The 14,714-nt window shown below is 41.5% G+C and overlaps 1 pseudogene across 1 annotated transcript in view; it reads right to left on the bottom strand.

The window, feature by feature from the left end:
- Positions 1 to 14,714, bottom strand: part of LOC102723753 (HECT and RLD domain containing E3 ubiquitin protein ligase 2 pseudogene) — a 35,989-nt pseudogene that overhangs the window by 9,944 nt on the left and 11,331 nt on the right. Inside the window, exons 8-18 of the transcript NR_135178.1 lie at positions 13,941 to 14,113; positions 13,453 to 13,556; positions 12,309 to 12,459; positions 9,391 to 9,601; positions 8,985 to 9,117; positions 8,750 to 8,877; positions 8,462 to 8,657; positions 5,658 to 5,791; positions 4,729 to 5,124; positions 4,460 to 4,611; positions 3,570 to 3,761 (exon numbers count right to left, since the gene is read on the bottom strand). The product of NR_135178.1 is annotated as an HECT and RLD domain containing E3 ubiquitin protein ligase 2 pseudogene (transcript). The remainder of the gene's footprint in view (positions 1 to 3,569; positions 3,762 to 4,459; positions 4,612 to 4,728; positions 5,125 to 5,657; positions 5,792 to 8,461; positions 8,658 to 8,749; positions 8,878 to 8,984; positions 9,118 to 9,390; positions 9,602 to 12,308; positions 12,460 to 13,452; positions 13,557 to 13,940; positions 14,114 to 14,714) is intronic.

Genomic DNA, 14,714 nt, shown 5'->3' with positions numbered 1-14,714 from the left:
ATACCAAAACTTCTGTGCTGCGCCAAAAGCAGGGCTAAGACGGGCAATTATACTATAGAAGTCTGCATTCACAGAAGATGATCTCAAATCAATAACTCTACATCTGGAAGAACTAAAAAAATAAGAACACAATAAAAACCAAAGTTAGGCCAGGTGTGGTGCCTCACACCTGTAATCCCAGCACTTTGGGAGGTTGAGGCAGGTGGATAACTTGAGCCAAGGAGGTTGAGGCTGCAGTGAGCCATGACTGCGCCACTGTACTTCGGCCTGAGGGACAAAGTAAGACCCTGTCTCAAAACAAAGACAAAAAAAAAAAAACAAAAACAAAAAAATACAAAGCAGAAGGAAGGAAACGACAGAGATTAGAGCAGCCATAAATTAAATAGGGAATGGAAAAATAATCTACAAAACCAAAAGTTCGGTTTCTGGCAAGAACAAAAAATCTGATAAACTTTCCGCAAATTAAGAAAAAAAGAGGCCAGGCAAGGTGGCTCACGCCTGCAATCCCAGCACTTTGGGAAGCTGAGGTGGGCGGATCACGAGGTCAAGAGATCGAGACCATCCTGGTCAACATGGTGAAACCCTATCTCCACTAAAAATACAAAAAAATTAGCCGGGCATGGTGGCGGGAGCCTGTAGTTCCAGCTACTTGGGAGGCTGAGGCAGGAGAATCACTTGAACCTGCGAGGCGGAGGTTGCAGTAAGCCGAGACTGTGCCACTGCACTCCGGCCTGGCAACAGAGTGAGACTCCGTCTCAAAAAAAAAAAAAAAGAAAAAAAGAGAAAAGATGCAAATAACTAACATCAGAAATGTAAGTGGAGACAGTACTAGCAACATAAAAATAAAAAAGATTATAAAAGAACACTGTGAACAACTGTATGCCAACAAATAAAATAGCCTAGATAAAATGGACACATTCCTAGAAACATAAATTACCCAACCTGACTCAAGAAGAAATAGAAAATCTGAATAGACCCATAACAAGTAAAGAGATTGAATCGGTAATTAAAAATCTTTCAGGCCGGGCGCGGTGGCTCACGCCTGTAATCCCAGCACTTTGGGAGGCCAAGGCGGGTGGATCACGAGGTCAGGAGATCGAGACCATCCTGGCCAACATGGTGAAACCCTGTCTCTACTAAAAATACAAAAAATTAGCCAGGCGTGGTGGCAGGCGCCTGTAGTCCCAGCTACTCGGGAGGCTGAGGCAGGAGAATGGCGTGAACCTACGAGGCGGAGCTTGTAGTGAGCCGAGATCGTGCCACTGCAGTCCAGCCTGGGCAACAGAGTGATACTCCGCCTCAAAAAAAAAAAAAAAAATCTTTCAACAAAGAAAAGCTTAGCTGGTTAACTCTACCAAACATTTAAAGCAGAATTGACACCAATCCTCAAACTCTTCTAAAAATAGAATATATGGGAACACTACCTAGTTCATTCTATGAGGCCATTATTACCCTGATAACTGTAAAACAATAAAATATTGCTGAAAGAAATTAAAGAGGACGGAAATAAATGGAAAGACATTCCACATTCAGAGAATGGATGTTAACATTGTTAAGATGGCACTATTCCCCAGAACAATCTACAGATTCAATCCCTAGCAAAAATCCCAATGGTCTTTTTTGCAGATATGGAAAAGCCAGCCTTGAAGTTCATATGAAAATTCAACGGAACCAAAGCAGCCAAAATAATCTTGAGAAAGAAGACACACTTCTCAATTTTAAAACAGTACAAAACTACAATGTTCAAAACAGTGTGGTACCTGCATAATTATCAACATATAGAATGTAATAATGTAATTGAGAGTCCAGAAATAAACCTAAATATCTACAGCCAACTGATCTTTGCCAAGGGTACCGAGAACTTCAGGGAAAGAATAGTCCTCAACAAGTGGTATTGAAACAATCAGATAATCAAAAGGAAAAGGCTGGACTCTTACCATACACTGTGTAAAAGAAATTACCTAAAAATGGACCAAAGATCTAACTATAAGAGCTAAAACTATAAAACTTACGGAAGAAAACATGAGATGAGGATAATCTTCATCAGTCTTGTATTTGGAAATGGCTTTTTGGGTATGATATCAAAAGCATAGACGACAAAAGAGAAACAGATAAACTAAACTTCATCAAAATAAAAAACTTCTCTATGAAAGGAAATACAATCCAGAGAACAGGAGAAAATACCCACAAATGATATATCTGATAAAGGTCTACAGATCTGTGAAGGTCTAGTATACATGAAATTTTTAAAGAGTCTGAGGACTGGTGTTAATTCTTCTTTAAATGTTTGGTACACTTACATAGTGCATTTACCGGTACAACAACAAGATGACGACAAATAACCCTATTTAAAAAGGAGAAAGGGGCTGGGCGCAGTGGCTCATGCCTGTTATCCCAGCACTTTGGGAGGCCAAGGCAGGCAGATCACCTGAGGTCACGAGTTCCAGACCAGCCTGGCCAACATGGCGAAGCCCCATCTCTACTAAAAATACAAAAATTAGCCAGGTGTGGTGGTGTGTGACTGTAATCCCAGCTACTCGGGAGGCTGAGGCACGAGAAGCGCTTGAACCCGGGAGGTGGAGGTTGCAGTGAGCCGAGATTGTGCCACTGCGCTCCAGCCTGAGTGACAGAGTGAGATTCCGTCTCAAAAAAATAAAATAAAAAATAAAGAGAAAGGGACTTGAATAGACACTTCTCCGAAGAAGATATACAAATGGCCAACAAGCACAAACATGTAAAGAAGCTCAATGTCATTCATCATTAGTGAAATGCAAATCAAAATCACAATGAGATAGCACTTCACACCCACTAGGATGGCCTTAATCCAAAAAAAAAAAAGAAAACCACAAAAAATAGTGTTGGCAGGGAAGTAGAGAAACTGGGACCCTGGAATCCTGCCCCCTGGTGGTGGGAATGTAAAAATGATATGGCACTGTGGAAAAGTTTGGTAGTCTCTTAGTAAGTTACACATAGTTGTACCATATGACCCTGTAATTCCAGTCCTAGGTGTATAATCAAAAGAACTAGAAACAAGTGTTCAAACAAGTATTTGTATATAAATGTTGCTAGCAACACTATTCACAAAAGTCAAAAGGCAAAACCAACCCAAATGTCCATCAACAGATAAATGAATAAACAAAATGTTATATATTCATACAATGGAAATCTTTTTCAGCCATAAAAATAAAGTACTGATATATACCAAATGAAATAACCCAGACACAAAGGCCACAAATGGTATGATTCCATTTATATGAAATATCCAGGATATGCAAATCCATAGACAGAGAAAGCAGATTTGTGACTACCAGGGGCTGGAGAGCAGGTGAGTCAGGACTGATGGCTAAATGGGGTGCATTTATAGTGATGAAAAAGTTCTACAACCAGACAGTGGTGATGACTCTAGAAAATTGTGAATGTATTTAATACTGCTGAATTGCGACGTTAAAATGCTACACTTTCTGCTATTTGTGTCTTACCATAATTTACAAAAAGCTTAAAAAAAAAAAAAGAAATCAAAGCAAAATCTTGACGTTTTCCCAAAGGCTCTCAAGCCAGTGCAGACCTACCAATCAGGCGCAGTGCCGTCTGAGTGAGGGCCAGCGTGCCGGAATTGAGCAGGAGGTCGAGGTTGTTTGCGCTGTGCTGCAGGGTGAGCATGCTGAGCATCATCAGGAGGAAGCGGGCTTGCGGGATGCTCCCCAGGCTCGGTCCCAATGGGTTCTCACTGGTGATGGTCTGCAGGGGAACCGGCTGGATACCTAATAAGCATTGACACCCACTTACGTTTCTTGTGATGGATACAAGAATAAACATAACGCAGAAAGCACGGGCTATTACTTTAAACATCTGACTAATAAGCATTGACACCCACTGACATTTCTTGTGCGTGGATACAAGAATAAAAGTAACACAGAAAGCACGGGCAATTACTCTAAACATCTGACTATTTTTCAGTGGTTTCCACAGAGTGGGCAGCTCTGTCATGCTGCACGATGGGCCTAACCCCTGTATTCTATGCACAGGTCGTTCCATCTGTCTACAGGACTTAGCATGTTGCTCTCTGAATACACTGGTGCCCTATTCCATTCCTTCCATTTCAAATATAAAAGTTATGTCTCACTTTTCCTCCACAAAACCAATCCAATCAACTCTCTGTAGATGCTCAGACTATCCAGGAAATAAATATTAATATAGGACACAGACACTTAGGATATGTGGTGATACACATATAAATGTCAAAATGTAAAAATGTTATACTAGAGTACTTCAACATTGTATCTCCTGCTAAATTTTAAAGTTTTGTTTAAAATCTGAGAAAGCTGACAGCAGCATAGATTATACAAGTACAAAGTACAAACTTATTACAGTCTTCTCAAAAGCAAAAATTGGCATTTGCAAGTTTCCACAACACATAATTAAAGGCAAACTATAAAATAACATTGATGCAATTGGTCACCAAGCTCTTTAAATTTGGCACTGGCATCCATCAGAACATTTAGAATGTTCTGAACAGTCCAAGCATACAGCTTGCCAAAGGTGACTTCCAGCAGCATCCGATTAAAAGGTGGGATCAAATCAACATCCTTTAAACAATCAGTAAGAGGTTCCCTTTCAAATAAAGATAAAGAATTTGACTCGGGACACTGCCAGACTTCTAACTGTTACAGAACAACATTCTGTTGCCACAGCTTCCTTAGTTAGGAAAAAAATATGCTAACGTTTTACCCTATATCGATTCCTTCAGGAATAAGTCTTTGCCATCCACAAAACATCGCTTACTGCACAGATGGAAGTAAGAAATTCTTGCTCACCAGATACAATTTCAAAATTGTATCTATCCCTTCCAGGCGAACCTCTGCTCTCTCCAACTGCAAAATATCAATGCATATACAGTTAAGTGTTATGTATATTACCCACTGCAGAGAAGCATTTCTCATCAAATGTTATCTGTTTTAGTAGGCACTATCTCATTTTTTCCACATCCACTGGCTCTTCCTTAAGGGCAAATTCAGCAATTGTACTGAGGAGTGGAGACTGCGGATAAAGATCCTGAACATTCTGCTTCAACCACTTGTATCTGTGAACCCCTGTAACAGTACTCAACAGTGGCTGCCATTTGTCCTAACAAAGGAAAACAATTTTCATCATTAGTCTACCCTATTTAATATTAAACTGTGCTCTAAAAGTTATTCAAGTAAAATATAAATAATGCTCATAGGTTTAAATTGGTTAAAATATGTTAAATTTAGTAATTAATACATGGTTTTAAAACTATGCTATAAATATAAGTGAACTTATCTCTATACTAATATATGTTGGAACAGGCTAGCTTGGCATACGAAGTTAAGTTGTGGTTCATATTAATAGCCACAGGGCCCAGCACTGTTTCTGGAACAAAGAATATATTTAAGGAATGAATGGTGAATAATTAATGATACAATCTAGTACCAAAAATAAAAGGAAACCCTTCTCCAGCTACAGCTCTGACCAGGACATCATAAGTCAAGTTCATGAACCATCACTGGGGCCGTATTTCTAACAACCGCCCGTCCCTCCCTCCGGATGCTCAGGTACGGAGGTACAAGACTGTGGATTCCTTTGCTACATGCTATGATTCTATTCAGCTAACCTCAGAATCACAGAAAACACTGCACCTTGGGTGATTTAATTGCAATGGGTCTCTTGTCCACATTTATTGGACTATGAGGCAAAATGCAGGCTTCTTCTAAATCACTCTCTTCGTTTCCAATTTTTTCTTCATCAGCCGTAGATTCTGGCTTCTTAGGAACTGTGTTTTAAAACATCATTCACTATAAAAAATCATACACTTAAACATTAATTTTAAATTAGGAAATACTTAGACTTACATGAAAGACAAATATTTCATTCAAATAAACATCTGAACAACATTATAAATTGCAAGGCTCAAACAACAAGAGTGAAATGATCACCATGGCAGAACAAAATGACAAAGTGAGAGTGTGACAAGGGGAGAAGCCCCGAAGCAGGGGAAGCCCAGCAGCCAGCAAGCTCTTCCTCAAGTGCCAGAGAGTGAACATTTGAGTCTTTCAGGCCACGCAGTCTGTTGGAAATACTCAACTCTGCTGCTGTAGCACAAAAAGTAACCACAGATAAAGCAACAGGTGTGGCTGTGCTCCCGTAAAACTTTATGGTGCTACAATTTTAGCTTCATGTAATTTTCATGTGTCAAAAATAATATACTTCTTTTAATTTTTAAAAAACAATTTCAAACTGCAAAAAAAAAAAAAAAAAAAGGTCTTAGTCCACGGGCAACACAAAGCAAGCAAGAGGTGGAATTTGGCCCACAGTTCCTGGCTTGTCCACCATGGTCCAGTTCAGTGGTTCTGTTAGTGTGTAACTGAATTAATTGAATTCATTGTGATATGTGGAATTTCCTCCCTATATTTTATCTCTTTTAAAATTTTTGGTCTAAATCTCCTCAGCATATAATATAAAAAATAAGCAACATGACAATACACCTGGGCAGTAAAGAGCTAACATAGCAGGCCGGGGTTGCTCAAACACTGCAAATTCCCAAGGAAGGTCTGTCCCTTCAGGATTGGTCCTTCTTCTTCTAGGAGCTGAGCTCTGAGGCCTTGGAACATCCTGCCTGATAAGTTTTTTGGTATACCTGACACCCAGGACCTTGTGGCAGTGGTCTGGCCAGGCAATTTATGCTAATGATGTGACTTGCGAGGGACCACTTGTTTTTGCACTGGGGCACTGGAGTGTAAGTAGTTGAGGTCAGTCACATGGGCACTGCCTGCGTATGTGACTGGCCCCCAACAAAATCTCTAGACTCTAGGTTCAGGTGCGCTGGCCTGGTTAACAATTCTGCACACATGATGTGACCCACTGTTGCTGGGAGAGCTAAGCACATCCACGTGACGCCACTAGGGAGAGACACCAAAGCTTGTGCCTAGTTTCCTCTGGACTTCCCTCCATGCACCCTTCCCTTTGCTAATTTTAATCTGTATCCTTTTTGCGGTTAAAAAAAAAAAAAACACACAGCTGTGAGTATAACAGCTCTTCTGAGTCCTTTTGGTGAATCATCAAGCCTGAGAGAAGGCTTGGCGATCCCTGACACAGCAACAGGAATATTAATCACTTAATCTTCTTAAGTTACTTAATTTCCAAAAAAAAAAAAAGAAAACCAGCTTGAAACAACACACAATAAATCTATAAACCCACAAGAAACTCTAAAAGTGACAGTGTGGGCTCAGAACCCACGGATATGAAATGGCAAATGGTGGAGTCTCTCTCCCTCATGCTGAGGCAGGCCTGTCTCCTGGGCCCGGGCTGAGTTCCTGCATGCCTGGGTTAAAGGAATTGCAGCAGTGTGACTGCTGTGACTTCCTGATCCAGAGCACCCATCGGATTCCGACAGGCTGTTATGGTGTAGGGTTTGTTCAGGAACAATCAAATTAGGATGGCTTCTAAAACGCTCTAGTCTTTCATAAGCTTATTGTTCAAAATGCCCATCAGAAACTGAGTAATTAATACTGTTCAATAAGCAGGTTTGTGAGTAAATCAGTATAAGTCATAAGAACATGATCAGAGGCCAGGTGGGGTGGCTCATGCCTGTAATCCCAGCACTTTGGGAGGCCGAGGCAGGCAGATAACAAGGTCAGGAGATCGAGATCATCCTGGCCAACATGGTGAAACTCCGTCTCTACTAAAATACAAAAATTAGTCAGGCGTGGTGGCGCATGCCTGTAATCCCAGCTACTTGGAAGGCTGAGGCAGGGGAATCGTTTGAACCTGGGAGGCGGAGGTTGCAGTGAGCTGAGATTGTACCACTGCACTCCAGCCTGGCGACAGAGCAAGACCCCGTCTCAAAGAAAACAAAAAAGGATATAATCAGAAACTTCTGTAGTTTATTTATAATCACAAGTGACTGAATTCTAAACTATTTTATAATTTCTAAGCATTTTTATTCAAATTTGGATTTAATGCAAAAAGACTTTTCTGTACTCTTACACAGCTACTTCCAGGAAAATGTCAGTAACTCTTTCAGCTTCCCTTTATAATTCTCCATGTATCAGAATACTCAATATTTCCAAACAAAAAACATTTCTTTAGAAGAATGGCAATAAGTTTAAATGTTCCCATTATATCTCATTACCAGGATAACTAATAAAATAAAAATACGTCCTTGTTCCCATCAATTTAGCAAAGATTATTTACGTTTTCAACATCAATTTACTAGTAATCAAATCATACCACACTCAATTCCTAAACTGCCTCATTGTCTGATCGGTTGAAAAAATAGGAGAGATTTCCGTATTTAATCATAACTATACATAAAAATGATGGCAGCAGGTAGAAATGTCACATGGAATCAACAGTAGAGAAACTTCACTCTGAAATCACAGGTCCAGCGAGGCAGGGTGAAGCACATGCTTTAATAGTATCTTCTGTCCTTTTACATTCTTACTTCTCTTTTTCCTCCGTTCCCGAATTATCTTCTGAGCTATCCTCCTCCAACGGGGCAAAGAACTTAACAATTTAAACTCAGAGATTATAGAGAGGTCATTACCAACAGCAGGTCTCAATTCATTAGAGAGGAATCTCAAACGTTCGATGACAGGAGTGCAGACCTCCTTGTAAGAACGGCCCTGTTCTTGATGAGTCTGCAAAGTTAACCAGGAAAAGACAACTTTAACAACAAATATTTCTGCAACTGTCTGCAAAGCACAGAATAAAAAGAATTAAAATATATCACCTTAATGAGCGAACATTTTGCTTGGTAGACAACTCTACAAACATCCACCACTGACTTAGGCAACGTTCTGTGCTTTATTTGCTCAATATCAAGTGCACCTGCATGAACTAAAGATAATGCCACATGACCTGCAAAAAGACATTTAAAAGAAGGACAGGGAAGGAATGAATATGTACCACAGGTTAGTCGAGGAATCTGCAGTCTAGCTGAAGTACACAGATATTGAGCTCCTTACCTAAATCTTCATGTTTTAAGAAGCAACATAACAGCAAGCGACCGACCTCTTCCACGGGGTGCTCGGGGGGAAACATGATCGGTGTGGTCAAATGGCACTGCCTACAGTACCTTTCTATTTGACACAAAAAGCCCTGCAACAGAAACAGCTGGAGGTAACTTCAGGGCCGGCCAGTGAGTCTTCACAAATCTTAAACATGCCACAGCTTCTGATGCACTTGCAATCAGTAATGCTTCCGAAGCCTTGCTAGCATGTTAACACAATCAGGTTCTCACCTCAAAACCCTCCAAATAATACATGAAACAAAGTCTGTGCTATGTTAACCAAAGAGCACATAAGTATTCCTATGTCAAAGTCCTCAGATAAACAGAGCACTGAGGTGGCAGTGGGGACAGGCCTAGCTCACCTTCACGTTGTGATCCTGAATGTTATTGTCTGCAATGGCTTGCAGAAATGCCTGAGAATGGTCCCCCAGGGCCCATCTGTGGGAGCAGTCGCGATTTGCTGGCAGGTGTGCCCACTGGGAGCTGCAGTGGTCCTCATCTTTCTCCTCGTTGTAGCTGTAGTGGATCTGGCTGGTCTGCAGCCTCCAGAGAAGATGGATGACTGAAGCCATTCTAGAAAATGCACACGCAAACATGAAAGAGAAACTCAAGTGCACAACTCAAAATAAATACTAAAAAAAAAAAAAAGATGCTCAACTGAACACTCAATTTAGAAGGTAAAATACAGCATCATTCATATGAAAGAGCTCCACCTAACATGTTTACACAGGTTGACTTGTAATTCCTCTATCTACGTGAATACACTTTCTGGTGATTCCACACACCTCAGGCATGGCATCAGAACTCAGGATTGTAGTTCCAGTCCAAAATTCTCTGGATACCTGTGCTCTGCCTGCAGCTGCCTGGTTCCACAGATACCGTGTGAAGACTGAGTTGCACACTCTAACAAGGAAGGCAGCAAAGGGCACCGCTGACACAACTAATCACAGGATTTCAAGTCCAAAACTGTGCAACGGATGACTATGGGAGTACCAGGGAGACTGGAGGACAGACCACCGCTATTCTGAGGGTCAGTAAGGGACTTGTGGAAGCAACAACTGAGCTAAGATGAGGAATAAGACCCAGACGCTGAGTATCCAGGCAGGGAACAGCATATCTGAAGGGTTTCTACAAAGAATTACATCCTCAGGGTAGGCTATGTATTCCTAGAGCACTTATAAAGGAATGAAAAGGAGAAAATATTTAACAAACACACAATCTTTAATGAAGGATAGATCCTTGGAGACGGGAGGGCCGATGGACTGGAAAGGAGACCTGTGCATGGTGCAAGGCATGGGATCAGCCAGTGCAAATGTTAATTACAACTGCTTATGGTCACTTGAGGGAGCGGCACATACACACAAAATTAGGATGTGCACCACTACAGATCTCTATTAACGATCTGTGTTATCAAATACTGCTCCAAATCCAAGCAATCAAAGCGGGGATGCACTTACTGTTCTTTTACTGGACATTTAGATTTTTAGAGCACTCAGGAGCATTCCCCAACCCACCACATTCATTCTTCTGAAACACTAATCCAATGCCAACTCTCTCTGGCCCCCTTTCTTTAAGCACAGGACAGCCCCTCCTTACTGCTCCAAGATAAGCCTCTGATCCTCCTGTGGCTCGGACCCACCTGCCAGGGCTCATGGCACCCTCTGCTCTGGAGCTCGCCAGCCCTGCCCTCCTTGTCAATTTAAACAAAGCCCATCTTCTGGCAAGCAATGAGCCTTGAGGAGGAGGGAGGGAAGCAGACACCTCAGAGGGCACCACAGGCAGTCCAGCACCCAGCACTGCACAAAGGTCCACCCAACGGGGGGCTGTGTGGACACCAAGATCCTCCTTTCCCGCAAGCCTCTCCCACACCCACTCTCGCAAGCAGCAGGAAAGCCCTGCTCCTCTCAGCATTGCCCTTGACACTCCTGTGTTTTCTGCCCAGAATGCTCCCTCATGCAATTTCAGGACTGCTGCCGGTGTGAAGCCTTTCTTCTCCCAGAACCACGTATGAACGTCTCCATTTCACCATTCACCACCTTGTAACGTGACCTGCTTAGAATGCTGGCTCATCAACAAGCAGCAACTGAAAGCAGAGGCGTGTCCTATCCATCACTGCATCCTGAACACCTCGCATGGTAACGGCACCAGGCAACTGCTCAACAGAAGCTGCTCACACGGACGGACAGATAGACAGATGGGAAATGCACGACTACATGAAGGAAAATGTAAACCCATCTTAGGAGACAGGAAAAAGCTTATTATTTTAGGTGGTTACAAAGGCTGCCATCCTGAAATATAACTGACTTGAGCCTGGTCTGGTAAAAACGCAGTCCTCAAATAGAACGCTGTTCCCTGAGAGAACAGCTGATCCACATTCTGTGCAATTTCTGGGCATGCAGGGAGACAAAAGCCATGCTGGGCCCATCAGGCAGAGGCTGCAATACGTGAGACCACCACAGGGTAGACGGGTAGACACTCCTGCACACTTTTTAGCTTCCTCTGCAGCAACAGACCATGAGGGCAAATGACAGCCACTCACAGCTGTTTCTACCTGATTGAGTCTCACTATCCTTATTATTATTTTTTGTAGCATCATCAACTGTGTTGAATCCTCCTCTTTTTTTTTGAGACGGAGTCTCGCTCTTGTCACCCAGACTGGAGCGCAGTGGTGCGATCTTGGCTCACTGCAACCTCTGTCTCCTGGGTACAAGCAATTCTCCTACCTCAGCCTCCCGAGTAACCGGGATTACAAGCACCCGTCACCACGCCCAGCTAATTTTTGCATTTTTAGTAGACATGGGGTTTCACCACATTGGCCAGGCTGGTCTCGAACTCCTGACCTCAGGTGATCCACCCGCCTCAGCCTCCCAAAGTGCTGGGATTACAGGCATGAGCCACCGCCTGGCCATCTCCTACTTTTTTAAAGAGAGAGTCTTGCTCTGTCACCCAGGCTGGAGTGCCGTGGTATGATCATGACTCACTGCAACCTCAACCTCCCAGGCTTAAGCGATCCTCCTACCTCAGGCTCCTGAGTATCTGGGACTACAAGTACATGCCACCATGCCTGGCTAATTTTTGTGTTTTTTGTAGAGATGGGGTTTTGCCGTGTTGCCCAGGCTGGTCTCAAACTCTTGACCTCAAGCAATCCACATGCCTCAACCTCCCAAAGTGCTGGGATTACAGGCATGAACCACTGTGCCTGGCCCTCTCCCACTCTTAATGGCACTTACAGTTCAAAAAAAATAATCTGCTAATCAGCAAAAAGCAAAGATTTTCTTACTGGCACATTCAATCTCGACAGGAGACAGCGGTGTGCTCATTGCTAAATAGGAAGTGTGTAATCCGAGAAGCAGGCCCAGATTCCTCTCTGTGTCTATCAGAGGTGAAGAGAGACTTCCCGGATCTGGTATGGTGACAACTTCTTGGTCAGGCTGGAAAAATAAACTTCATCATCAATCTGAGGAAACAGAATTAATTAAAAACATAAAACCAAAAGGACAGCTCTGTCCTGCAGCTGTACCGCCATGTGAGCCCAGGGGTGCCCTGGGTGTTCTGCCCCTCCATCCTGTAATGAGTTGATGCTGCTGTGCCCAAGTAACAGCAGATACCACATAAACCCACATGCCCTATAAAGCTGGCAGCAACCGTACACGCAGAAAAACTAAAGCACAGATACATGATTTGGCTAGAATATTCCTTAGGAATCAGTTTCCAAAGTGACTGTACACCATGCTTCAGAAAGTATAATGAATTGTTACATGCATAAAGAACCCACTGGGCAACAAAACTATGACAAGTATTCGATGACAAGTATTAGTGGACTGTGACCACACAGGTAGAGGAAATGAAATTTATTCTAACAAAAATCAAACTCTGAAAAAAGCAAGAGTTCAACTTTTCCAGTCACAGAAGATATTTACAGCAAAGTTAATTCTCCCCTTCATAAAATGCTTTAAGCCCTGCCCTAATGGCATTTAATACATTTTATTACTTGTGGATAGCTGGAAAGCTAATCCCAGTATATAAATTCTATGTGTTCGTGAATACATAGGAAGGACATATTTCTATTGTAAAGAATTACACTTCTACATAGTTCTTCCCAAAAAATACATACCTCAAGATAATAAGCCATTCCAAATTTCTACATAAGACCAAAGTTTAACCTCTTTTCTTGTGGAACACTGTCTATATTTCTCACAAATTGATCATTTAAAAAACAATCTTTCAAGACCAGTACATCACAGATCCTAACACGAATAAATGTAAATTCATTTATGACAAAACTTCTAAAGGATCTTTATATTATCCCTAATGCCCCCCAAAAGACCCAGATATCAGTACTTCTAGATCCAAATATTCCTATCACAAACACACAGAGGGTGTCCCCTGCCATCCTCTGCATCACTCAAGGCATACAGCCTCACCTCCAAATATTGGCCAACACAAAATGCGTGCATGGATTCCCGGGTGACTTCAAACTCGAAAGCAGCTTCCAAAGCTACCACTGGGTTTTCCCCTGCAAACTGAGCTGAAAGAAAAAGGGAAAAAGCAACAGGAGTTCAATTCAGCTTGCCTGAAGAGCTATAGGAGAAACAGTGAGTAGGAAATAAGTTAGGCGCTTAACTCAAAAGTGAGGGTTACCAGAGTATAATGACCTCCCACTGTCTCCCAGGGTTGCCTGGGCCAACTCAGAACTTGAAATGAGTTCCAAGTATTAAAACAAAAAATGCATAATGAAAGGAAATTCTTCAAATGTGCTGAATTTGTTGATAAGACAGACACCAAAGCCACAGATACATTAAAATATGCGGGGGCTGGCGCAAAACTAAAGAAATCATTTATAAGCCAAATACTCTGCTTAAAATGATACAGGCTGTAACTTTTAACCAGGAAATAAGAAGGGTAATCTTACCAAGAATACTATTTCCTGTTAACGACTGTGTCTGGAAGTCCTTTATATCATACACTTTCTCATCAATCACAATCCAGAAGCCTCCATCTTTATTATGGTTCTCCAAATCAGCTTTGCATATAAGTGTCACTTCCTCATTATTTCTACAGTTCTGAACTGTAAAAAATGACTCTCTGTATACAGAAACCAGAATCAGTCCATTGATCAATCAACAGGTAAAATGAAAAGAACAAACTGTGTGAAAGAACTACAAGCAGAAATAAACAAATCCACAATCACAATGGGAGAAATACATACCTAGCTCTGAAACTAATACCACACATACAAATTCTATTAAATATAGAATGCTTTAAAAAAAATCTAGGCAGCATGAATATCAAATCAGGCCATGCCAGGCCATAGAGCAAATCTCAACAGATTTCAAAGAAATAAAGTTACACAGCATGTGTGCTGACTACAATGCAGTTAAATTAGAAATAGGTTTTCAAAAGTTCATTCAAAATAAAATAAAAATGACTCTGTATATACAGAAAATGAAAATATTCATCCACATATTTGAAAATTACAAAATACACTTATAAGTAACCCAAAATTCTAAGAAAAAATGACTATGAAAATTAGAAAATGAGTTCAATTAATAATCAAAATATTGCAGATCAAAATTGGTGACATACAACTAAATGCATGCTTGAGGGCATTTACGCCTTTAAATGTGTATATTAGGGGGAAAAAGCTAAAAAAGAAAAGAAACACCAAATCAATAGAAGTCTATTA

Source organism: Homo sapiens (genome assembly GCF_000001405.40).
Source record: "Homo sapiens chromosome 16 unlocalized genomic scaffold, GRCh38.p14 Primary Assembly HSCHR16_RANDOM_CTG1".
NCBI lineage: Eukaryota > Metazoa > Chordata > Mammalia > Primates > Hominidae > Homo > Homo sapiens.
Note: the sequence above shows the minus strand (reverse complement) of the source record. Positions and strands in the feature narration are given on the sequence as shown.